General features: G+C 37.5%; 1 long non-coding RNA gene across 1 annotated transcript in view, besides 3 other annotated features; it reads left to right on the top strand.

Annotated features, from left to right (window-relative positions):
- The window catches only part of LOC105371664 (uncharacterized), a 115,921-nt gene extending 100,453 nt beyond the window's left edge, over positions 1-15,468 (top strand). The window contains exon 5 of the long non-coding RNA XR_002958418.2: positions 10,618-15,468. This is a non-coding gene — a long non-coding RNA (uncharacterized LOC105371664). The remainder of the gene's footprint in view (positions 1-10,617) is intronic.
- Positions 9,582-9,761: a silencer, noted in NCBI's record as "silent region_1651". NCBI's record gives its function as "represses an Ori minimal core promoter by ATAC-STARR-seq in GM12878 lymphoblastoid cells {active_cell/tissue: GM12878}" and the evidence as "EXISTENCE:reporter gene assay evidence [ECO:0000049][PMID:35858748]".
- Positions 11,644-11,763: an enhancer, noted in NCBI's record as "active region_2258". NCBI's record gives its function as "activates an Ori minimal core promoter by ATAC-STARR-seq in GM12878 lymphoblastoid cells {active_cell/tissue: GM12878}" and the evidence as "EXISTENCE:reporter gene assay evidence [ECO:0000049][PMID:35858748]".
- Positions 11,824-11,943: an enhancer, noted in NCBI's record as "active region_2257". NCBI's record gives its function as "activates an Ori minimal core promoter by ATAC-STARR-seq in GM12878 lymphoblastoid cells {active_cell/tissue: GM12878}" and the evidence as "EXISTENCE:reporter gene assay evidence [ECO:0000049][PMID:35858748]".
- Positions 15,469-26,248: the final 10,780 nt, after the last annotated feature.

Raw genomic sequence — 26,248 nt, 5'->3', positions numbered from 1 at the left:
ATGTAACTCCCAGCAGGTATTTTTGTCTTTTTGTTCATTAGTATTTTCCTGGTGCCTAGAACAGTGCCTGCTGCATACTAGTGCTCAAGAAATATTTGTTTAATAAATGATGGATATATTTTTTACATACTTGTTTATATGCATATATAATTAAAGTCTTCAATAAGTAGAGGGAAAAGTTATAGATCTTACTTTAGTCCACTGAGAGAAGCTAGGTAAAAAAGAAATCACAGAGATTCAGTGAGATATAATTATTTTTGTTTTAAAAAATGAAATATTATGTTTTATTATATATTTTTATGTATTTTATATATATACACACAACTTATTCAGTTCTGCATAGAATTTTTCTACTACTCTCCTAACTTGACTCATTTTTGTTTGTTTGTTTATCACTGTGACTAGAAGGCAAGTTCTGTAACCACATCATGTGACATCTTGACTCTAATAGTTATTTTCAGCTCTAAAAGTTTGCATGGGTCAGTAGCAGTTCTCTGGTACTGGCCACTCACAGGTTCCCAAGCTGAAGAGGAGGAATCTTCTGATTCTGCTACCATTCAGCCTATGGAATATGAGTGAAAGAGTAAGAAGGAGGTAGAGAGTACCTGATGTTACATCACAACCCTCTTTTCCATGACTGAGTTTTCCCAAATTGTGCAAATACCCTAATTTCCAGGCATGTCTAATTATCCTTTCCAAAACATGAAAATGACAATAAGAAAAAAAACTTAGAAGAATACATGCATGACCCATGTATCTTTGGTAACCTCTTGTCGTATATCTTTGTTAGCATATGTCTATATATATTTGCGTGTATGGATGTGTATCTCTGGGCACGTGCCTAGTTTTAAAATATATTTGAAGCTGCTCAAGAGAAGGAAACTATTCCTGAGAAATCCCCAATATTTTGTCATGGAAGCTGAGCATTTGACTTTACTCATGACTTCCTTGGCCAGAAGTAAATGGCATAGAGCTCTTGTGAAAGTGAGTAAAAGCGAAAGCCTTTTTGTTCCTGGAATCCAGTGGGAGTCTTAACTTGATATTCATGGATAGTTTCCTTTAGCAAACCTATATTCTATTTAAGGTGTGTGAGTTAGCCTGAGTTTATTCTGTTATCATTCAGTGAGCCTCTCCTCTGACAAATGATTATTCCTGGATCTGGTCACTGAATGGTTTAGTGAGTAGACCTCATACTGTCTTCTGGAAACTCTAGAGAGAGGCAATAAATGACCATAGCAAGTTCTCTTTTTTCCTGTGGAATATATATAGGTTGGTCATGTGAAGGTGAATCAAACGATTTGAACTTGATCTTTTCCTATCATGATTTTGTGACCTCAGGCTGCTTACCACATGAGTGGTACTCATTTGCTTTTTCATTGTGTGGGTTCTTTGTATTGTTTGCAGTGTTAAGTTCTTTGATATTATGTACCTTCGGATTTATTGATAGTATTTTATTAACTTGCAGTTCAATATGAACTTGTTAATATCCAGGTTTAGTTATTACTTTTGTAAGTTACACTTGCATTTAGTTGTGAATGATATGTTTGTTGCTTATACCGACAGAAATGGACAATAGAACTTTGCTATTAGTACCAGGTAGTTCTGTAGAGATTAAACTGAAGGCTGTGTAAAATCAAGATAATTCATTGAGACTGACTAAGTCCATATAAACTTGTAGTTTACTAACAAATAACTTACACATATTTAATTAGTAATTTTTGTATTCAGAATTTTTGTATTCAACAATTATTTACTGGTTCCCATGATCTTTTGGGAATTGCTCTAGACACTGGGAATATAGCAGAGAAGAAAACAAATCAAGTCCCTGACTTCATGAAACTTATATTCTAGTGGTGATGGTGGTGAAGACAATAAGCACATCAATAAATGATATAATGCCTGATAATATGAGCCATGAGAGAGAGAAAAGAAGTAGAGGACAATGTTGGAGAATAAGGAAGGGAAATCAGGAAAAGCCTCTTAGAAGACCTGACATTTTAACAGAGACCTGAGAAAAGTCATAATGCAAGTTATAACAATATCTCAGGGAAGTGCATCTGGACAAAAAGAACAGCAAGGGCCGGGCGCAGTGGCTCATTCCTGTAATCCCAGCACTTTGGGAGGCCAAGGTGGGTGGATCACCTGAGGTCAGGAGTTTGACACCAGCCTGGCCAACATGCTGAAACCCCATCTCTACTAAAATACAAAAAAACTAGCCAGGCGTGGTGTCGGGTGCCTGTAATCCCAAATCCCAGCTACTTGGGAGGCTGAGGCAGGAGAATCACTTGAACCTGGGAGGTGGAGGTTGCAGTGAGCCGAGACCACACCATTGAACTCCAGCCTGGGCAACAGGAACGAAACTCTGTCTCAAAAAAAAAAAAAAAAAAAGACAGCAAATCTAAAGGCTCTGTGGCAGTAGTGTAATGGGTGGTGACAAAAAGATTGATAGGGTTAAAGGTATCAGCTGTTACTAGGCCAGATAAAGGAGGATCTCATAGACCAACCTAATGAGCTTGGGTTTTATTTTGAGTGAGATAGGAAACCAGTAGATGTTTCCAAGAAGGAAAATGATAGAATTTTGTTTATATTTTCAAAAGAATTCCTGTTTTCTTTGGAGAATAGATTAATGGGAGAACAGGGTAGAAAAATGGAAGCAGAGAAACCAGATAGGAGACTATTGCAGGAATCCAGGGGAAAACTGATGGCACTTGGTCTAGGATTCAGATACAGTAAAATTCGGATATAGAGTGGCCAGGGCTTGCTGAAGGAGATGATGTAGGTTGAGAGAGAAAGAGGGGGAGCCAAGGATGCCTTTAGGCTTTTGGGTAGAGCAACAGATGAATAATGGTGGCATTAAGTAACAAGGTGAAGACTGTGGGAGGAAGCATAGGTTTGGATGGGTGGGTGGGAATCAAGAGGTCATTTTGAGAAATGTTAAATTTGCAAAGCCCTCTAAAGATCCGAGGGGAGATATTGAAAAGATAGTTGGATACAGGAGTCTGGATTTTAGGAGAGAGGGGAAGGCCGGGATATAAACTTGGAGGACATCAGCACATAAATAGGACTTGGTGGGAACACCTATGAAGAAGGAGCAATATTGAAAGGTTGGGAAGAAGGGGAGGATCCAACAAAAAGGAGGGGAAAGGAAGAGGGAGAAGACCTAGAGAGTGAGATCTCTTGGAACCAACTGAAGAAAGTACATATTTTCATAAGGAGGGGGCCTATGTGTTAAATGCAGCTGATAGATTAAGAAAAAGAATGACAATTAATCACTGCAATTTGAAGCATGAAGGTCCTTGGACAATCATTAGCAAGGTGTGGAAACATATTTCAGTCTCTAGAAGATTCTTTTTTTTTTTCACCTCAGATCTCTATTGTCTGGTAATACTTTTCTGTCTTTCTTAGTAGTCAAAATTCTGTGGTCATCTAATTTGCAGTAATTAACTCTTTGTAGAAAGCCTTTTGTTTTCCTTTATAAGCTATATGGAAGGGCCTTTCCTTCTTGGTCGTTACTTAAAATTTAGAATTTAGACTGTTCATCTGTTATTGTACTTTCAAACATATTTTACTGCTCACTCTCTCTGACTTGTGTGTTAGAAATTTTAAGGCAGCTTTTGAAAATAAAATTCAATTTATCTTTTCCTAGGAATGTCCTAATAATGTCCTACTTCACATGTTCTTATTAAACCCACTTGCCAATGTTGCTCCAACTATGTGCTTATTTTCTGGGATCTTAATGTTTCAGAAGTAATGATTTCTCTAGTAGGGAGAGATTGGGCTCTATGTCTATCAAAAGTGTTCCAGGTAAATTTGTGATGAAAATAATATTTCCTAGGGAAGATTTATTTATCCTCCTCTTCCTTCTCAGTATTTCTGTTAGATGTTTGCCTATATAGTCATTGGTTATTCGGTGGGAAAAATTAACTTTACAGTTCTTTAAATGTTGAAGAGGAAAACATCTTTAGAAAGGGCAGAAGGTCAATGAGGTTGTGTTAGGGGAAACCACACGTTTTACCAACACCTTCTCACTAGCTGCCTGGAACATAGAAAAAGGAGGAATTGGGAAAATTCTGTTTTAGTTGGCAGTTGGTAGAACTTTAAATGTGGATTTTGGAATTTGTAGTTCATATTGTGTTTCTGTCTGGGAACTGGGAGGGCACTGAAGGCAGAACAAACTATCCATTTATTTGGCAGGAATTTTTGAGACATGAGAAGTCTTTTCAGGATATGATAAAAATAGCCACTGCTGTGAGCATGAGTTCTACCAGAAGTGCCAGTGCCAGAGCATACTGGCCATTCTGATTTCATCAGCTCAGGTGGCATTTTGAGGACTTACTCTGTATCCAGCACTGTACAAGGCCCTCTTTATAAATATTGTCATATAATATTCCCAACAAGCCCATTAAATAGATATTACTAATTACATTAAATAGAAGAAAACTGGAAAACCAATAGTGTTTATGTAATTTTATTAAATGCCCATAGGAAGTAAATGATGAAGCCAAAACCTTCCGAATTCAAAGCCCATGTTCCTTGCACCCTAACATGCTGACAATTTAAGTGATAGACACATACACAGCTAAGCAGTATACAGTATGATAAACATGGTTCATTGTTGTGAACTAGTGGCAGGAACAAGTAATTATCCATTGAAAACGCCAAAAACAGTCACAGATGTCTATTTTCTGCTGTGCCTTAACACATAAGGATGAGAGATAGTGACATTCCCGACTTTTGGAGAAACACAAGAAAAGGCATAGAATTATCAGTGATGACTTTTGTGATCTTATGCAAAAGATCTCAGTGGCTAATAAATCAGTTGTTGAAAAGTTTTCCAAAGTAGAATTTCAGGTCACTTTGTGTTTAAATATTCATTCATGCTCTTTCAAATTGGGCATAGGCTGGTGGTGATGGGAGGTTGTGGTGGCATACATACCCAGAAGCTTACATGAACAATTATGTAACAATCATTTTCCCCTTTTCATCACCTACATAACTGCCTTAGATGCTTTTTACAAAGCATATTCCAGAGCCCCTCCCAAGATATTGTGATTTAATAATTATGGGGCAGAGCCTCATAATCATGTAAGGCATGTTGGGGATATGTGTTAGGAAAGCTCCTCAAAATTCTGTGCTATCAAGTCACTTAGAGGAGCAAGAATCGAAATATAGAGAAAAAGAGGGAAGGCAGTGGGGCAGGTTATTCCCTCTTCAATCCTACACTTGCTTCTGAGCATCTCTTTTGTCAATATTTGTTGCCCTTAGAATATAACATCAGAAAGTAATATTATTTGGAAGGCCTGAAGTCAAGTCCGGCAAAATTAAGCAACACAACAATGAGTTAAGTGCATGCAGGTTGGGAAATCATAAAATTCAGTCCAGACCAAGTCCCATAAACCCTAGAGATTAAAACATGAAAGAAGGATTAGGCATCCAGGTAAAAAATCCTGCTTAGCAAAGTACCTGACTCTAGGCAGCAATTTGGGAAACAGGGATGGATAATGACAGTTAAGTTTGTATGTTGTTTTATCCTAAACCAAAGTCTTTTTGGTGCAGGTTGGAGCCTATATCCTTTCCAAGGCTGTAACTGTCACAGGGGTGGGCAATTCTGATTTCATAATTGAAGGCTTTTTTTACGTTTGGCTGGAGTGGGAGAACGAGGCCTGAAAAAACGGGTTGAATTCCTAGATTATGAATTTGTAGTGACTCAGATCACCTCTCCTGAATCGGTTTTCACATGGGGAGAGGGTTGAAGATACAGTCCTGGCATTCCTGTGCTCTATCCATATGTGTTTTGCACTATCCTTTACATTTCCTAGGATAGTAGTTGAAGAAGTTGGACAGGACTCTGCTGCACAAAGATTTCCGCAATCATGACTAGAACTTCTAAAATGTCACTTGGTCTTTCAGCAAAGTATCCCAGCTAATGCTTCTTCATGCATTTCATAGAATTCACAGGGTTCTGGCCTCATTTTTGCCTTATAGTGTGTACCCTAGGAGGACATCTAGTTGCTGCAGCTAGAAGCTGCTATTTTCATTGATCTCTCATGCCTGGACTACTAAGCCATTTATGGGTTCCATTTGTCTGGGCATGTATCCTGACAAGTTACTGTGTTAATTATAATTTCAAGTGTATATGTCTTATCACCTATCAGCTATATTTTGAGTACCTTGTGGTCAGAATACATGAGTGTCTCTTTTGATATTGTATGTAACACCTAGTTTAGTGCCTAATCCAGCATTTTTCCCATTTTATCGCCTACCATAATTGCCTGAGATGCTTGTTACAAAGCATATTCCAGAGCCCCTCCCAAGATATTGTGATTTAGGAATTATAGGGTGGAGCCTCATAATATTTTTTTAAATCAATTATCTCTATGGATCATTACTATACTTCGAAAAATACTAGAGTCAGTCGTAAGAGTTCAAAAAACACATATTGACTGATTATTGATGTTCAGGGAATAAGTGAAGAACAAAGAAAATTAGGAAGTGTGACTTTTTGTTTTCTGTAATAACTACTGGCTCTCTTGGTTGTGCACACTGTTGAATATTTCTTCTTAAATGGCTGAGTTCAAAATGTTCCTTAGTGTGAAGTCACTCATTCACACATTTAACCCATCTCTCCACCCCACCCCCATGCTTGATTCACTCTTTCCTGTCCTTCCAATTTTGGCATAAATGTCACTTCCTCAGAGACTCTGCTGAACTTCTCTAAGCCTGTTAAGTGGACCCTCCCTTAACTCAGCTTTTATTCTGTCGTAGCACCTATTACAGTTGTAAATTTTGTGAATACACATATACAAATACATACACACACAATTTCAGTTATTGTCTGTATGCTTTTTCCATGTAGGCAGGAACTCTGTCTATTTCATCACCAATGCACATTTGGTGTCTGATATTCCTAGTATTTTATTAGTTTTAGCAAATGTTTAATAAAGGAAGGGATGATACACTTGGAAACCCGTATGTTCATGTGGATAGAACTTTAAAATTGATTCTGAAAAAACAACAAAACCTTTGAAAATTCATGCTGCTTTATAGTTTATTCTGGTGTATGCTATTTTATTTGGTTAGTGTACTGGTGAGGTAGATAACATTATCTTTAAGGTGCAGATGAAAGTGCTGAGATTTAGAAAACTAAGTGTCTATCTCCAGGTGTCCTAGGTAATAAATGGCAGTGCCCACACATCTTCTCATGGTGAGTGTTGTGTGTGTTCTTCTGTATTACATTAGATAGGCAAGGTAATCAAACCCAAACTATAGCAAGATTGTGTTTCTGCAATAAGGAAAGGATCTCATAATTATTATTTCACAAATGCACAGTTTTGGAACTATGTCTTGGGAAAATTATATATTTATATACATATTTATATATATATATAGTCTGTATATATAGACATAGTTTTATATGTATATATAGCCTATATATATAGACATAGTTAACTGTATATATATGTATATACACAGTTTGAATATCCCTTATCCTAAACGTTTGGGGCCAGGAGTGTTTTGAATTGCAGATTTCTTCTGATTTTGGAATATTTGCATACAGATAATGAGGTATCTTGGAGATGGGACCCAAGTCTAAATACGAAATTTATTATGTTTCATATATATCATATACACATAGCCTGAAGATAATTTTATACAATACTTTAAGTAATTTTGTGCATAAAACAAAGTTTTGATATTACCCTTGTGGTTGCGCTTGTGTGGGGGAAACTGGGCATGTGTGAAAAAGATGTATTTAAAGAAAGAGGGCAGAGTGGGTGTCTTTTTTTCCTTGGGGAAACTGAATAAACTGTGTTGGGCCCTTGTGTTTTCACACTGACCTGTTAAATGAGCTCAGGGGTGAAATTTTCCACTTGCGGCATCATGCAGGTGCTCAAGAAGTCTTGGGTTTTGAAACATTTTGGATTTTGGAATTTTGGATTAGTGATGCTCAACCTGCACTTCAAAGTGTATTTCTGTTGACAGTAGGCTTCACTGCAGACCCTCAGACAGCAGCAGTTGGGGAAGATTCTTTTGAGGGAGAAACAGCATCCCTTCTCCCATATACTCAGGATTATGTGGACAAGAGTTTAATCTTGGGGTTGAAAAGTATGACAATACTTGAAGAGAATTAATATTCCTTTTGGCATGCAGGCTCACAGAAGTACTTCTCATTGGTTCTTCCCTAAGACTGTTAACTAGGTCTATACTTTCAGCGGTGACGTGGGTTTTCTCATATTCATCTCTGGCGTGTGTGGACAAAAACACCAATGTATTCCCCACAGCTGACAGAACACTACGCAGACAGAATTGCGACTTGTTTGTCACAATATTCTACGCATATAATACATGCATATGATCAGTTTTGAAACCTAGAATAGTTTTATACATTGTTTATGATGGCCTCTTAGAGAACTAAGGTTTCTAATTATGATAATGTTTGTATATTTTTATGGCCTTAAATAAGAATCCTTCTTTAAAATGAAAACACAAAACAAAGCCTGTGTTAGTCTTTCTGTTTAGAATTTTGTTTTGTGAATTTTACTTTTTGGAAAGTTTTTCGTTTGGCCATGGGTGTGAGAAAATGGGTAGGTATATTTTAGAGTATTTTGATTTACTAAAGTAGCCTACTTTTTTTAAAAAAAAAAAAAGGTGGCAAATTAATTCTGTAAAGCAAGTTACCTTATTACTTATGGATTTCACTTCTCTTCAAATGGTTCAGTGTTACAGAACTTTACAGCCTAATAAAGGTACTGTGGGTCATGTGGTAAAATCATGTAATTTGGGGCTGGGTGCTGTGGCTCATGCCTGTAATCCCAGCGCTTTGGGAGGCAGGCAGATTGCTTGAGCCCAGAACTTTGAGACCAGCCTGGGCAACAGAGCAAGACCCCATCTCTATAAAAAATAAAAAATAAAAAAAATGTAATTTAATGTTGAACCCAAGAAAGATGATTCTGCTGCCTTCCTGCATTTTTAGCAGATAAGAGTAAGAACCCCAAAGACAACTTAATAAATTCAGGACCAGGCCAGAGATGTCAAACCACTCCCAAATTGGACCTTAAGCTTGGATGATCCTATGGAATATAGTTGCACAAATATAAACTCTAGTGTGTGGCCTACTCTAGTTTCTGATAGGATATGCAGCAACCATTTCAGAGCTATTAAATAGATTGTATTAAACTAATTGTTAAAAGGGGAAGTTTGATTTGTCGTAATCATATTCAGGTTAAGAGGAGGGCTGGTCAACCAGATATCTGGGCTATTTATTTATGTGACCTTATAATATCTATATACTAAATCTATATAATCTATATAATAAATCTATATAATAAATTTATATACTATAATGAATATATCATATAAATATATAATATCTATATAATCAATGAAGTGCCAGGTCACTCAGTTCTCCAACTATACCTTTTTCAAACTTGGCAAAATGAATCTTGGTCTTACTCTAGCCAAAGGAAGCAATGCCCAAGGCTGAAAATACATACATAGTAAAATATATAAAATAAATACCTAATATAAACATGTAATGAAAAATGAAAAGTACATAATGAAATCAAATACATTCTCACTGACATTGACCCATCTTGGCTTAGTATTTGGGGAACATACATGGAAGCTCTATGGTGCATAAAGGCCACACCACTAACTTGAAACTAGTCAGCTGAGAGTCATTCTCAGCTTGTGAGGTGGTGGGTGGTTAAGTAAGTACACTGAAACTCTGAAAATGAATAATGCATGACATAGCACTATTTACTGAATATAAATATTATTTATATTCTCAAATCTATGACAAGTAGCCAAATGTTACAAGAAATCACAGAGGAAAATAGAAGGAAAATATGAATTTTGAAAAGTAGGAAACAACCTGAAAACCAGAAAATTCCAAAAGAGTGAAAATGCTATATACTATTCATGCTAGGGATCGTACACTTGGAAATCCATATGTTCATATATTCATATTGATAGAATTTTATAATTGATTCTGAAAAAACGACAAAGCCTTTGAAAATTCAAGCAAAAACTTCTACGCAAGGCTAAGTCAACACAATAAATCTGTTTTTAATATAAAGTGGAATATAATCTACACTAATAGAAAGTTAGTTTCTCCCAGGCTGGACGTGGTGGCTCACGCCTGTAATCTCAGAACTTTGGGGGGCCGAGGCAGGCAGATCACAAGGTCAAGAGTTCAAGACCAGCCTGGCCAATATGGTGAAACTCTGTCTCTACTAAAAATACAAAAATTAGCTGGGCGTGGTGGCACGCACCTGTAGTCCCAGCTACTAGGGAGGCTGAGGCAGAAGAATCACTTGAACCTGGGAGGCAGAGGTTGCAGTGAGCTGAGATTGCTCCACTGCACTCCAGCCTGGGTGACAGAGCGACACTCTGTCTCCAAAAATAAAATAAAATAAAATAAAATAAAATAAAATAAAATAAAATAAAATAAAATAAAGCTAGTTTCTTCTAATCCTTCTAAAGAAATATTGAACATTCTATTTAAAGAATATATATATTTGAAGAAATGTCAAGTTGTTAGCCTGATGAAGTTCTTACATCTCTCTCAACATACCTAGTTCTAACTATGACTCCTTGCCTTTTTCCTTCATGCAGCCTCCAGGTTCATCACATGACTCAGCTAAGAGAAAATATCCAGTGGCTCATCGTTACCTGTGGGAGGAGGTCTGAACTCCATGGCTTTGCATTCATGTTCTTGTTTGTCTCACTTCAACCTTCATTCCCTCCAAGTCCTCGTTGTCCTCCCAGGGTTCCTCTGCTACAGCCGGGGGAGTCTGATCCCTGCTTCCTAAATTTCTCTGAAGCTTATCTACACCTATGTTTTTGCTCCACTCTTCTTTCTCCTTTATACACCAATTATTCTCCTGTTTTATCCAAATTATTCCCTTCTGCAAGACTCACATCAAGTACGATTTCTTTCTAGATGGCTCTAACTCAGTTATTGTTATCTAATTGCACACATATCTCTGATTATTGGCATTAGTCATTTGGAAATTTATTGTATGCTGCTTTGTTTTATTATTTCTCTTTTTCACCTGCCTTGTGCTTACTTCCCCAATTGGACTACAGATTCTTTAAGGATTAGAAGGCTAATATACCTACTTTTTGTCTCTATAGCATCTAAAACAGTAATCTGCAGATATTAGGTATTCAGAATATAATTCAATCTAGAATCATTTGGGAAGTTTAATTTTTAAAGAACTCTGAATCATTTTTCTCAAAACTGTCATATAATGCTAAATTTTCATTTCAGGTTCTGAGAGATTCTTTTCTTTTAAGCCCAGCATTTATGACTTTCAAATTTTAATAAATAGAACGCCCAAAGTTAGTCAACAGAAACGTCCTAAGTTAACGTGGGTGACCTAAGTTCCTTTGCTGTATTTTGTACACGTTTTATATATTGCATCAAGAAAAGCAAATGATTGCTGAAATGAGTAATAAGGAGCTTCACTGGCTAGTCAATCTTATTCCGGAAGCAAAAACTTCCACGCAAGGCTCATTTACATGTGCACACTGCAAAAGGAAGTTTTGGGCAAAATGTCTGCAGACTCTGTTCAACATGCGTGTCCCACTTAACCACATGATCCTTATAAAACCACCTATATCCGTTCTCATACACAGTGTCTAGCCGTTGTGTTAATCACTACTGACAGCTGCACTTTTTTTTTTTTAAGCTTCTGAGCTCTTTTGTGGCAATGTGGCGGGTTGTAAGTAAAGCAAATGCCACTTTAAAGCTAATCATGCTCGGTATAACTTTTACATACCATCATAAAGAGTTATTTGCTTACATATTCAGCTCTTGCTCTACACTAGGAGTTCTTCGAAGGCAGGGACTATTTGTTATTTATTTCTTCATCATCTCCAGCACAGGGCCTGACAGGTGCTTAGTGACTGTTTATTGAATGAGTGTTTGCAGAAAAAATAAATCAAGAGATGGAGAAATAAAGAAATCTGAGAGGTGGAGAAATTAATAGTAGTCCCACAACCAATGAATTAATTGATAAATGTTTACTAATCTCCTACTTTTGAGCCCTGAACTTCAAAGAGAGTGAAGGGAAATATGATAGAACAGACTCATTCAGGATCACTTTTTACTCAATTTAAAATGCAGGCAAGTGAAAACAGAAACTGGGAGGAAAAAGAGTTCTCCTCTATTCTCCCCTAATTCCTTTATTGAGAGGAGAACTTGCATGGATGTTCTTGGATTATCCAAAGCTTGTTTCCTCCATTCTAGACATTATCATGAAAGGCACGAACTGGTGGTTTATTTTGCCTTCTTAATGTTAAAAAAAATAGAAAATTTTACACTGATACTCAGATTTACACTGATACTCTGTTCTTGAAAAATATCTAGCAACCGTAGGTCAAAATTTCTGCATAGCAATAATTTTTTGAAACTAAACAGTGGCTGCAACCTTTAAACAGGGTACATGGGTAGTATCTCCAGGTTGCCATTGTGTCCATTTTTGAGGCACATGGAACTTTACAAGCGCTATCTGTAGTAAAAACCTGGGTGCTGAAAAATTCTTGATTGAGTTTAGAATGGAAGGGATTCTGGAGGGTGGGTGAAACATGAACTAACTTAATTTAGCTATACACATTATCTAGATAGAGTGAAAAATACATTGAACTTGGGATCATTTTTTAGTATATTTGCCACTGCTTAGCTGTGTTTATATCTTTAAACACTTGGACCTTATTCTCTTCATTTTTTAAAAAAGGCCACTACAGCCGCTTTCAGCTTTACCATTTTCGATTTTATTTTTTAGTTACCTATCCAACATAAGTGGATTATAAGACAGGAGAGAAACCTATAGGGAAAAAGGAAGGAGAAGAAGAAGGAGCACGTAGAAGAAGTAAACTGATGTTAATTTAGTCCCTACTTCATAGCTACTCTTTTACATTGTCTCTTGTAACCATCACCAACCCATCATGAGATAGTTATTATCCCTGGTTTATAAATGAAAAACAAGGATTTGGAGTTTCAGAACACACTGTAGAGGCAGAATGTGTGTCCTGGCTTCTTTGGCCCTAAACAGCGGATACTTTCAACAGGACTTGTTGATTTTAGTGCCTTTCCTTTCATAGAAAATTAGATTCGTGGGCCAAGTATGGTGGCTCATACCCGTAATCCCAGCACTTTGGGAAGCTGAGGTAGGTGGATCGCTTGACCTTAGGAGTTTGAGACCAGCCTGCGCAGCATGGCAAAACCTTGTCTCTACAAAAAATGCAAAACTTAGCTGGGCATCGTGGTGCACAGGCCTGAAGTCCCAGCCACTAGGGAGACTGAGATGGGAGGATTGCTTGGGCCCAGGAGGTTGAGGCTGTAGTGAACCATGATTGCACCACTGCACTCCAGGCTGGGGGACAGAGCAAGACCCTGTCTTAAAAAAAAAAATTGGATTGGCTATACGATAGCTTCACGTCAACTCTGAATCATGGGGTTAGATTTAGAATGCTATAAAAAATTAAACAATATAATAAATATAAAGCATCTGGCATGAAACCAAGTATATAACGGATGCTTAATAAATATAAATCTTACTCCTTGTTGGTTGCCTTAGAAATCATTGCACTGGCCGGGTGCAGTGGTTCACGCCTGTAATCCCAGCACTTTGGGAGGTTGAAGCAGGTGGATCACCTGAGGTCAGGAGTTCGAGACCAGCCTGGCCAACATGGTGAAACCCCATCTCTACTAAAAATACAAAAATTAGCCAGGTGCAGTGGTGCACACCTGTAATCCCAGCTACTTGGGAGGCTGAGGTGGGAGAATCACTTGAACCTGGGAGGCAGAGGTTGCAGTGAGCTGAGATAGTGCCATGCACTCCAGCATGAGTGACAGAGTGAGACTCTGTCTCAAAAAAAAAATTGCATTTGTATATTTGATGAATTCATAACCTTAGACATTTAGTGGTTGAAAGAGTTAATAGCAATAAAATATGAACTATTTACAGTGGCAAATATATATCTATATCTAGTGGTATGTATCTGTCTATGTATGTACCTATAGATATATATATCTTTGAGTTTTAAGACTTGACCATAGCCTATTTAATTCAAATAATATAGGAGATATTTCACAATCACTGACTGGAATCTTCCTAGCATAGTATATGTATCAGCAGAAATCACTATAACAAAGAGAATCTAATGTAAATCTTGGCATACTGGTTACTAAATGTAGTTTTATAAAGGGCAATCTAATAAATGTCTTTGGTTTCCAAGGTGCTAACAACAGATTGGAATAATAAACCCTTCTGTTCTCGGAAACCAGAAATGTCTTTAGGAATCCTGGCAAAGGAAAAAAAAAATCTCTGTAATCTGATCAAGCCCAAACATTTGCAAAAGAAAATTAACTTACATAACACTGGCCCAGATCTTATTATTTAGAACCATTTTTGAGATCATGAGGCATATATTTTGCTTTACACTCATAAACATGTAGCCAAAGTGAATTAATTATGAATAATTTAAAAATGATCAAAGTTTGTTGGTTAATAATGATGAATCAACTTGAGTTGATGGTGGGTTCTGGGATGAAATGAAAGGGAAAGGACCAGGTAGAGATGAGGAGTACTTTGACTGATTTGATTACACACTCAATGGTGTGTAATCCTACTTCCATACTGAGAAGGCCTGTGCCGGCCCAAAGAGCCAAGCTTCCTGCCTACCAGTGGAAGTCAGGAAAGCAGTGGTATGCTGAAGAGCAGCCAACAGCTTACCTTATAGTACAAGCATCCTGTGTAGGGTAAATTAAAAAACAAGAGATGTCTTGTTTGTTTTTTTTTGTTTTGTTTTGTTTTTGCCTGGTTCTATTTTATTTTTGGTCCAAATCACACTAAGAAGGAGTCTTAAGATTTTGAAGGGATAAACATCAGGAAAATTGATTCTTTTCTGTAACTTTAAATTATTTAAAGTTAGACAGCATCTTTCTGACAATACTTTATTTATGTATCTGTATCAACGCTTAGGGAGAAATGAATGTGGTTTTATTTTTGTATTTCATTTAACTTGAAACTAAAATGAAGCTAGCTATTTTCTCCCTCCTGCCCTTCCTTCCTTCTTTCCTTCTTTCCTTCTTTCCTTCTTTCCTTCCTTCCTTCCTTCCTTCCTTCCTTCCTTCCTTCCTTCCTTCCTTCCTTCCCACTGAAGCCCCATCATTAATGCAAATCCACCCTCTCCTCTCCCCTACTTCTCTACATCCACACAGCTGTCTTTTCCCTGCTTTGAAAATATGTACATTAGCTGAACTAGAGAGCTAAGGTATTTCACTATTCAAAGAAGAGTATTTCTTACATATATCCATATCACAAGGCTTTTAAACTATTTTTGACTCCTATAATTTCTATAACTCTTTACAAGTCTGATGTAGACACCAATTGGAGAACTTGAGAATTAAGTTTAATGTAAAGGATATCAAAGAGATAAAAGATAATAGAATTTCAACAGTGAAGTGTCAGATTCATTCTTGTGTGACAGTGTGTGATTGCTGTCATTTCTGCCACCCACAAGTATTATAAGTGAGATAGAGAAAAAAGGGCAGTCCCTTCTCAAGTTTAGATAAGGAAGTTGATCCTGACCTAAGACAGCACATTGATGAATGCTGTTTACAGTGAATGCTAATGGCTTTTTGTGGACTAACCATTAGGAAGTACAGTTGTTCCCCTTATCTCCTCCATTCTTGTTATTCAAACAAAGCATAAATTGAGAAAGTAGGAATGTAAAAGGTGGAAGATTAATGTTCTTTACTTTGCAAAAGACAAGATTTTACTTAAAGTACTAGGTTACAGATGAGTAATGTGGGATAAGGGAGAAGCCCTGACAGGACTAAGGGGCTATTGAACTCCCTCTGTGGCAAATGACCTCCAGGCCAGCAGTGCTTCCTCTGAGTACTATGATCATTCTTCTGTAGCTTCGGAAATGAGGAAAGCCCCAGCTGTGGGAAGTGGTTTCTCTTCCTTTTCCCTGTGGGTGGTTCTGGGGTGGGATCAGCTGGAAATCCAGGGTTAGAGTCACTTGAGCTGTGCACTTCCCCAAATGTGTATTTCCTCCATGTATAACACCATGGATGGGGTGGAGGAGAAGTTATTTCCTACGTTAGTTCTAGGGTTTAAGAAAGAGGTTCAGAAATAATATTCACAAATTAGAGATGGAGGAAGGGAACACAGATCTGTTGAGTACTTCATTTGTGCCAAATACTATGCTATTATTATAGTGTCTTATTTATTTATCAGATAAGAAATCTGAGAAATGAGATAAGGAAACTGAGGCATGGAGAGTTTATGAAACATGTCTGAGATTGCACAGCAGAATTGGATTTTGAACTAATACCTATTAGTTCCTCAGGCTTGAGCTCTCTCCACGTCATTACTCTGAACAACAGGAGGCAGAAAAAGCTGAAAAACAAAGCCATTATAGATGATCATCTGTCTGGGTTAAAAGATTAGGCAACAAACAAATAAATCTTGTTTATATTGTTTCACTTTGTATAATAGTTTTCTTAGAAACAAGGAGCAAGGCCTTCTCAATCAGGCTGCTTCTGTCTTTTGCTTTTTGGATTCATTCATAAAGAGTATCTAGGAATATTAAAAAAGTTCTGGAATAATACAGCTATTCTAGGCATAGTTTTGCTACCTAAGGCTGTGAGGTGACTTCCAGTGTGGAAAAATGCCTGAGGCGATTTTACACACACACACACACACACACACACACGTGCACACACACACAAATTATATATAAATTATTTAGTAACCCATAGTCTGGTCCAGGAACCACACTTGGAATATCACTGGCCAAGAAATTCAGCAGGACAATGGAAGAATCTAGACCAATTCTAAACATTTTATTTTTTGATATTCAGTCTTTAATAGATACAGGGATAAGGCTAGAATTTATTCTTTTTCTTTGATAATTTTTAAGTTTCAGTTAAATTCAGTTCAACACAGGGAGTATTTCCGTGCATCTTCTTTGTTCCAAACATAGCGCCACACACTCAGTGAAATTTAATCTTAATGCCTTGAAAGAAATAGATGCTAAAGGCTCTTATATTTTTCTAAACTGTAACTTTAAAACAAATCAGCAAACACATCTTAATCATAATATAAAAGGAAGAAAACATTAAATATAATCTAATACAACTTTATTTATGGATGAAGAAACTTCTCAAATAAATAACCTGCCCAAATTCACACAACTAATTGTGGACATGGCATGGATTGTAATTCAATATTTTTAGTAAACAACTCAGAACCAAATTCTCTCCTGGATTTTGAAAAAAAAACTCTGGGAAATATGCTGACATGTACCTTTCAATCCCTACTTTTACTAGTTCTTATTACCTCATATATAAATGATCATGTTTCTTTCTTGCTATTCTACTTGCCAGATCTCTACTGCCCCCAGCTCATCTTGTACCTGGGAGCCAGATAATCTTAAATTAATTTTTCTTGGCTGTGTGCCGTGGCTCATGCCTGTAATCCCAGCACTTTGGGAGGCTGAGGCGGGTGGATCACAAGGTCAGGAATTTGAGACCAGCCTGGCCAATATGGTGAAACCCTGTCTCTACTTAAAATACAAAAAAATTAGCCAGGCGTGGTGGCACATGCCTGTAATCCCAGCTACTCAGGAGGCTGAGGCAGGAGAATTGCTTGAACCCGGAGGTGGAGGTTGCAGTCAGCTGAAATGACGCCATTGCACTCTGGCCTGGGCAACAGAGCAAGACTCCGTCTCAAAATAATAATAATAATAATAAATAATAATAATAATAATTTTTCTCCTTCCATGTTCATCTTAGATTCCCAGGCTCTCCTGGATACAATGAAAGCTTTTTTGGCTAGCTCTGGAGGACTTCTAAAATCTGTTTATACTTTTCAGTCTCCACTATTTCTTTTATTGTTCCCCAAAATGAACCTTCTGCTCCAGACCTGCGATTCTCATGCACACACAAAACATTTGAATTCCTAACCTTCACTCACATGGATTCACCCACTGAGAATGTCTTATTTCCCCCTCCACCTATATGGCAAATCAGAATAGCGTGTCAGTGTTGAGCTTGGGCTCTCATGAAAGCCAAATCATGACGAAATTACAGCTATGTCCTTTGAACAACTTATTAACCTTTCCAGACATTCTTTCTTTGATTTCCTCTTATAGCATATAGGAAATGGGACAGTAGCAGCAACTTATCATAGGTTTTTGGTGGAGATTAATTGAGATATCACACGTAAGGCACTATGCCTGGCACCTGGCATGTAATGAACACAATGAATGTCAGCAATTATTATTTTTATTAAAACACTATTAATCAGTCACCTTTCTGTCACATTGTTCAATTTGCTTTTCCCAAATCACTCTTAAATTTGTAATTGTACTCATATCATTTAGCTTCTAACGATTTATTTCTCTCTCTTTTTAAAAAATACATTAAAGTTTCCCAGACTTTTTCTCCTAACTGGGCTGTAAACAATTTGACAGTAGAGTTGAGGATCCAAACACTTCTCACAACATTCACTGCAACCATCCTGGTCCAAGCCCCTATCATCTCTTCACCTAATTGCAATGATAACTTTATAACTATTCTCTCCATTTCACCAGTGACACCAGCCAGAATAATCTCCTACCATAAACAATAATTTCATTTCTCTGGTCACGACCTTCTAATGGCTTCTTACCTTAGTAAGAGTGAAGACAACGTCATTATAAGACGCTGTGCAGCTTCACCCTCCTTGCCTCTGTGTCTTTGTCTCCTATCATCCTCCTCTCACTCATGCCTCCAGGCACACTGCTCACCTGGCTGTTTCTCAAACACAACAGGCCTCACCCCCGTCAGAACTGCTACTGATGTTGTTCTTCTACCTGAAATGCCGTTCCTCCAAATAGTTACATGTCATTGTTCCTCACCTCAACTCTCAGGTCTTTGCTCAAATGATACCTTTTCAGTGGGGCTGTCTCTGGTCATCTAAATTGAAATTACAATTCCCCCCACTAACCCATAATTTCTATCTCTTTTCCCTGCTTGTGCTTGTCCTTAGTAGTTATCAACATGTACCATACTACATATTTTGTATTTATTGCCTGCCACCTTATGATATGTATTTATGAACACATTTTTACTGGTATGACAGATAAAGCAATCAAATATTTAATGAATGTAATACTTCATAAAAATTCTTACCTTAGTAAGAGTGAAGACAACATCATTATAAGATGCTGTGCACCTTTGCCCTCCTTGTCTCTATGACTTTATCTCCTATCACCTATGTCTCCTATCATCAAATACTTGATGTTATGTAATACTTTATAAAAATTCTTCCATAATTGTTAAAGCAAACTAAATATGGCCTGAGAAGGACTCTATACTATATTTGAGTCCTTGTGGAGGAACTGCAGCCTAATCTAGTGGGTAGACAAGATTGAAACCCTAATTTAGGAGTATGGGCCTATTAACAGTGGCTGAGTCTTGGCCAGTCCCAGCAGCCATACTTCAACCAGTCATTCACTGCTGAGTGTTCAAGCTGTATTCAAATAAGGTAAATGCCAACCTGTAATCACTCCAGCTGTTCTGTACCTCACCTCTGATTTCTATACGTCACTTTTCTTTTTTTTTGTCTATAAATCTGTTCTGACCACGAGGCATACCTGGAGTCCTTCTGAATCTGCCATGATTCTGGGAGCTGCCTGATTCACGAATCGTTCATTGTTCAATTAAACTCCTTTAAATTTAATTTGGCTGAAGTTTTTCTTTTAACATTATTAAGCATAGGACTAGAAATGTTGTGGATACTCATCATGGTTGCAGTGTCTCTTTCTATGTGAATTTAGAGGTTTTTTTACTTCTGTAAGCCTGTTTTCACCTGGTCCATTTTAATTTCTTTTTTTTTTTTTTTTTTTTGATGAGTCTCGCTCTCTCACCCAGGCTGGAGTGCAGTGGTGCAACCTCCGCTCACTGCAAGCTCCGCTTCCCGGTTCACGCCATTCTCCTGCCTCAGCCTCCCGAGTAGCTGGGACTACAGGTGCCTGCCACCACGCCCGGCTAATTGTTTGTATTTTTAGTAGAGATGGGGTTTCACCATGTTAGCCAGGATGGTCTCGATCTCCTGACCTCGTGATCCGCCCGCCTCGGTCTCCCAAAAAAGTGCTGGGATTACAGGCATGAGCCATCGTGCCTGGCAAATTTCTTACATACATAGTGGATACTTAACTCTTCTTATATATATTATTATTTCATTTGATATTTAAAACATTCATAGGATGTTATTAGTTGTGCTGTGTAGATGATAAGGAAATGTATCTCAGAGCACTCTTCAATTATTCTATCCTTTAGATTTTAAATAGCCCTTATCGTCCATATTATATTTAAGGCACCTGATTATTTTCCATCTCACGTTGTTCTCTGTTTCAGTCTTCTATGCCATATTTCTTTATAAATATTATTCACTCATTTATGGATAGGTAGCATTCAGGTACTAAGAGAGTATTAGGTGCATAGTAAGGGCTCAATAAATATGTGTTGAGTCAATCATAAAGAGTCATAATATCTTAAATCGAATATACTTTTTATTTTAGTTGGAGCAACAGGTCTGTGATCCTAGGGAGAAAGAGCCACTCACTTATATATTCGTCTCCTACTAAATCCTTTGAAAATAAGTACCACTCAATTTCGTGCATAAGAATATATATGTATCTATATGCAAGAATATCATATATATTTATATTACTGGAATTCACTAAATATAGTGGAATGGCATCCACTGGGTTGAGGATGAAATAGTACATTTAAAAGAAATTCCTGTAATTTTTTCCCCTTGTTTAGAAATTAAAATCAAAGCAGACATTTTAATTAGGGATAATTGAAATATAGAATCAATAAACCATAGAATCAAGCTTTATATTGATTTTTTAAGTCATTCAGAGAGATGGCGTTTATGCCTAAGAATTTTGAGGATAAAACCAGTCTTTTAAAAGATTCCTGATTTTGTGTACTTGCAATTTCTACATTTCTTCTTTATCCTCATCATCTCTTCCCCCTCCTCCTCCTTTGCTTTCTTCATTTTCTTTTTCCTCCTCCTCCACCATCTCCCTGTTGTCCTCTTGCTCCATATATTCCCTTTTTAAATTGTATTTTATAATAATTTTGAGAAAAAATTTCACAATGAATCAAATGCTTCCAGAGAGCTGAAATCAAACTTATGGATTTACTCAATGGTTTTATTCAATGGTATAGAATAGGATAACTCAGTGGAGGGTCGGGGGGAGTGTGGGGAGTGGCTGGGGAAGGGAGCCTGAAGTGAGTTAACTTATTTTCCCCGGGCAAAGCCAAAACAACACACCTAATTTATTCATCAATCCAATTGCCAAATATATATATCTAGGCTGTCTTAGCTTTTTGGGAGACACAGAAAAATATTAAAACATGATCTTAGCCTGTGAGGAATTTATAGTACAGCTGGGAAATGGATATTTAAGTGAGCTAAGTAGTTAACAACACATGATACACATGAATATAATTAATGTGTGACATTTTAACTGTAATCTGTACCAAAATAACGAAGAGATTAATTATAACTTTCACTCCAGTTAAAGTTTCCTGTTGTAAATATTGACTGAGTTACATTGAACCTGATTGGGATGAACTGATCACCAACCTGAAATTGGATGTCTAATAAGAGTAGTCGCACACTGCCTGCATGACCTGAGGGGTCCCCCTAATGGTTAAACAAGTCTCTGAAAGATGGCCAGGAAAAGGAATGTAGACAATGGTTAGAAGGTTAGAGTTAATGTTAAGTCACTCCTAAACATCCACATATGTTTTATTCAGTGTAGCTACATCTACAGTGAATAAAAAACTTAACATTTGAAAAATTTATATTTGAAATATATTTGAAATAAATATATATACATAATTGAAATTTAAGGTAATATGTAATTTTTCATATTGTTTTTTTTTCTTTTTTTTTTTATTATACTTTAAGTTTTAGGGTACATGTGCACATTGTGCAGGTTAGTTACATATGTATACATGCGCCATGCTGGTGCGCTGCACCCACTAACTCGTCATCTAGCATTAGGTATATCTCCCAATGCTACCCCTCCCCCCTCCCCCCACCCCACCACAGTCCCCAGAGTGTGATATTCCCCTTCCTGTGACCATGTGATCTCATTGTTCAATTCCCACCTATGAGTGAGAATATGCGGTGTTTGGTTTTTTGTTCTTGCGATAGTTTACTGAGAATGATGGTTTCCAATTTCATCCATGTCCCTACAAAGGACATGAACTCATCCTTTTTTATGGCTGCATAGTATTCCATGGTGTATATGTGCCACATTTTCTTAATCCAGTCTATCGTTGTTGGACATTTGGGTTGGTTCCAAGTCTTTGCTATTGTGAATAATGCCGCAATAAACATACGTGTGCATGTGTCTTTATAGCAGCATGATTTATAGTCATTTGGGTATATACCCAGTAATGGGATGGCTGGGTCAAATGGTATTTCTAGTTCTAGATCCCTGAGGAATCGCCACACTGACTTCCACAATGGTTGAACTAGTTTACAGTCCCACCAACAGTGTGAAAGTGTTCCTATTTCTCCACATCCTCTCCAGCACCTGTTGTTTCCTGACTTTTTAATGATTGCCATTCTAACTGGTGTGAGATGGTATCTCATAGTGGTTTTGATTTGCATTTCTCTGATGGCCAGTGATGATGAGCATTTTTTCATGTATTTTTTGGCTGCATAAATGTCTTCTTTTGAGAAGTGTCTGTTCATGTCCTTCGCCCACTTTTTGATGGGGTTATTTGTTTTTTTCTTGTAAATTTGTTTGAGTTCATTGTAGATTCTGGATATTAGCCCTTTGTCAGATGAGTAGGTTGCGAAAATTTTCTCCCATGTTGTAGGTTGCCTGTTCACTCTGATGGTAGTTTCTTTTGCTGTGCAGAAGCTCTTTAGTTTAATTAGATCCCATTTGTCAATTTTGTCTTTTGTTGCCATTGCTTTTGGTGTTTTGGACATGAAGTCCTTGCCCACGCCTATGTCCTGAATTGTAATGCCTAGGTTTTCTTCTAGGGTTTTTATGGTTTTAGGTCTAACGTTTAAATCTTTAATCCAACTTGAATTGATTTTTGTATAAGGTGTAAGGAAAGGATCCAGTTTCAGCTTTCTACATATGGCTAGCCAGTTTTCCCAGCACCATTTATTAAATAGGGAATCCTTTCCCCATTGCTTGTTTTTCTCAGGTTTGTCAAAGATCAGATAGTTGTATGTATGCGGCGTTATTCCTGAGGGCTCTGTTCTGTTCCATTGATCTATATCTCTGTTTTGGTACCAGTACCATGCTGTTTTGGTTACTGTAGCCTTGTAGTATAGTTTGAAGTCAGGTAGTGTGATGCCTCCAGCTTTGTTCTTTTGGCTTAGGATTGACTTGGCGATGCGGGCTCTTTTTTGGTTCCATATGAACTTTAAAGTAGTTTTTTCCAATTCTGTGAAGAAAGTCATTGGTAGCTTGATGGGGATGGCATTGAATCTGTAAATTACCTTGGGCAGTATGGCCATTTTCACGATATTGATTCTTCCTACCCATGAGCATGGAATGTAATTCCATTTGTTTGTATCCTCTTTTATTTCCTTGAGCAGTGGTTTGTAGTTCTCCTTGAAGAGGTCCTTCACATCCCTTGTAAGTTGGATTCCTAGGTATTTTATTCTCTTTGAAGCAATTGTGAATGGGAGTTCACTCATGATTTGGCTCTCTGTTTGTCTGTTGTTGGTGTATAAGAATGCTTGTGATTTTTGTACATTGGTTTTGTATCCTGAGACTTTGCTGAAGTTGCTTATCAGCTTAAGGAGATTTTGGGCTGAGACGATGGGGTTTTCTAGATAAACAATCATGTCGTCTGCAAACAGGGACAATTTGACTTCCTCTTTTCCTAATTGAATACCCTTTATTTCCTTCTCCTGCCTGATTGCCCTGGCCAGAACTTCCAACACTATGTTGAATAGGAGCGGTGAGAGAGGGCATCCCTGTCTTGTGCCAGTTTTCAAAGGGAATGCTTCCAGTTTTTGCCCATTCAGTATGATATTGGCTGTGGGTTTGTCATAGATAGCTCTTATTATTTTGAAATACGTCCCTTCAATACCTAATTTATTGAGAGTTTTTAGCATGAAGGGTTGTTGAATTTTGTCAAAGGCTTTTTCTGCATCTATTGAGATAATCATGTGGTTTTTGTCTTTGGCTCTGTTTATATACTGGATTACATTTATTGATTTGCGTATATTGAACCAGCCTTGCATCCCAGGGATGAAGCCGACTTGATCATGGTGGATAAACTTTTTGATGTGCTGCTGGATTCAGTTTGCCAGTATTTTATTGAGGATTTTTGCATCAATGTTCATCAAGGATATTGGTCTAAAATTCTCTTTTTTTGGTTGTGTCTCTGCCCGGCTTTGGTATCAGAATGATGCTGGCCTCATAAAATGAGTTAGGGAGGATTCCCTCTTTTTCTATTGATTGGAATAGTTTCAGAAGGAATGGTACCAGTTCCTCCTTGTACCTCTGGTAGAATTCGGCTGTGAATCCATCTGGTCCTGGACTCTTTTTGGTTGGTAAACTATTGATTATTGCCACAATTTCAGCTCCTGTTATTGGTCTATTCAGAGATTCAACTTCTTCCTGGTTTAGTCTTGGGAGAGTGTATGTGTCGAGGAATGTATCCATTTCTTCTGGATTTTCTAGTTTATTTGCGTAGAGGTGTTTGTAGTATTCTCTGATGGTAGTTTGTATTTCTGTGGGATCGGTGGTGATATCCCCTTTATCATTTTTTATTGTGTCTATTTGATTCTCCTCTCTTTTTTTCTTTATTAGTCTTGCTAGCGGTCTATCAATTTTGTTGATCCTTTCAAAAAGCCAGCTCCTGGATTCATTGATTTTTTGAAGGGTTTTTTGTGTCTCTATTTCCTTCAGTTCTGCTCTGATTTTAGTTATTTCTTGCCTTCTGCTACCTTTTGAATGTGTTTGCTCTTGCTTTTCTAGTTCTTTTAATTGTGACGTTAGGGTGTCAATTTTGGATCTTTCCTGCTTTCTCTTGTGGGCATTTAGTGCTATAAATTTCCCTCTACACACTGCTTTGAATGTGTCCCAGAGATTCTGGTATGTTGTGTCTTTGTTCTCGTTGGTTTCAAAGAACATCTTTATTTCTGCCTTCATTTCGTTATGTACCCAGTAGTCATTCAGGAGCAGGTTGTTCAGTTTCCATGTAGTTGAGTGGCTTTGAGTGAGATTCTTAATCCTGAGTTCTAGTTTGATTGCACTGTGGTCTGAGAGATAGTTTGTTATAATTTCTGTTCTTTTACATTTGCTGAGGAGAGCTTTACTTCCAAGTATGTGGTCAATTTTGGAATAGGTGTGGTGTGGTGCTGAAAAAAATGTATATTCTGTTGATTTGGGGTGGAGAATTCTGTAGATGTCTATTAGGTCCGCTTGGTGCAGAGCTGAGTTCAATTCCTGGGTATCCTTGTTAACTTTCTGTCTCGTTGATCTGTCTAATGTTGACAGTGGGGTGCTAAAGTCTCCCATTATTAATGTGTGGGAGTCTAAGTCTCTTTGTAGGTCACTCAGGACTTGCTTTATGAATCTGGGTGCTCCTGTATTGGGTGCATATATATTTAGGATAGTTAGCTCTTGTTGTTGAATTGATCCCTTTACCATTATGTAATGGCCTTCTTTGTCTCTTTTGATCTTTGTTGGTTTAAAGTCTGTTTTATCAGAGACTAGGATTGAAACCCCTGCCTTTTTTTGTTTTCCATTTGCTTGGTAGATCTTCCTCCATCCTTTTATTTTGAGCCTATGTGTGTCTCTGCACGTGAGATGGGTTTCCTGAATACAGCACACTGATGGGTCTTGACTCTTTATCCAACTTGCCAGTCTGTGTCTTTTAATTGGAGAATTTAGTCCATTTACATTTAAAGTTAATATTGTTATGTGTGAATTTGATCCTGTCATTATGATGTTAGCTGGTGATTTTGCTCATTAGTTTATGCAGTTTCTTCCTAGTCTCGATGGTCTTTACATTTTGGCATGATTTTGCAGCGGCTGGTACCGGTTGTTCCTTTCCATGTTTAGCGCTTCCTTCAGGAGCTCTTTTAGGGCAGGCCTGGTGGTGACAAAATCTCTCAGCATTTGCTTGTCTGTAAAGTATTTTATTTCTCCTTCACTTATGAAGCTTAGCTTGGCTGGA

The sequence above is a fragment of the Homo sapiens genome, chromosome 1 (genome assembly GCF_000001405.40).
Source record: "Homo sapiens chromosome 1, GRCh38.p14 Primary Assembly".
NCBI lineage: Eukaryota > Metazoa > Chordata > Mammalia > Primates > Hominidae > Homo > Homo sapiens.
This window is presented reverse-complemented; position numbering and strand designations above follow the sequence as displayed.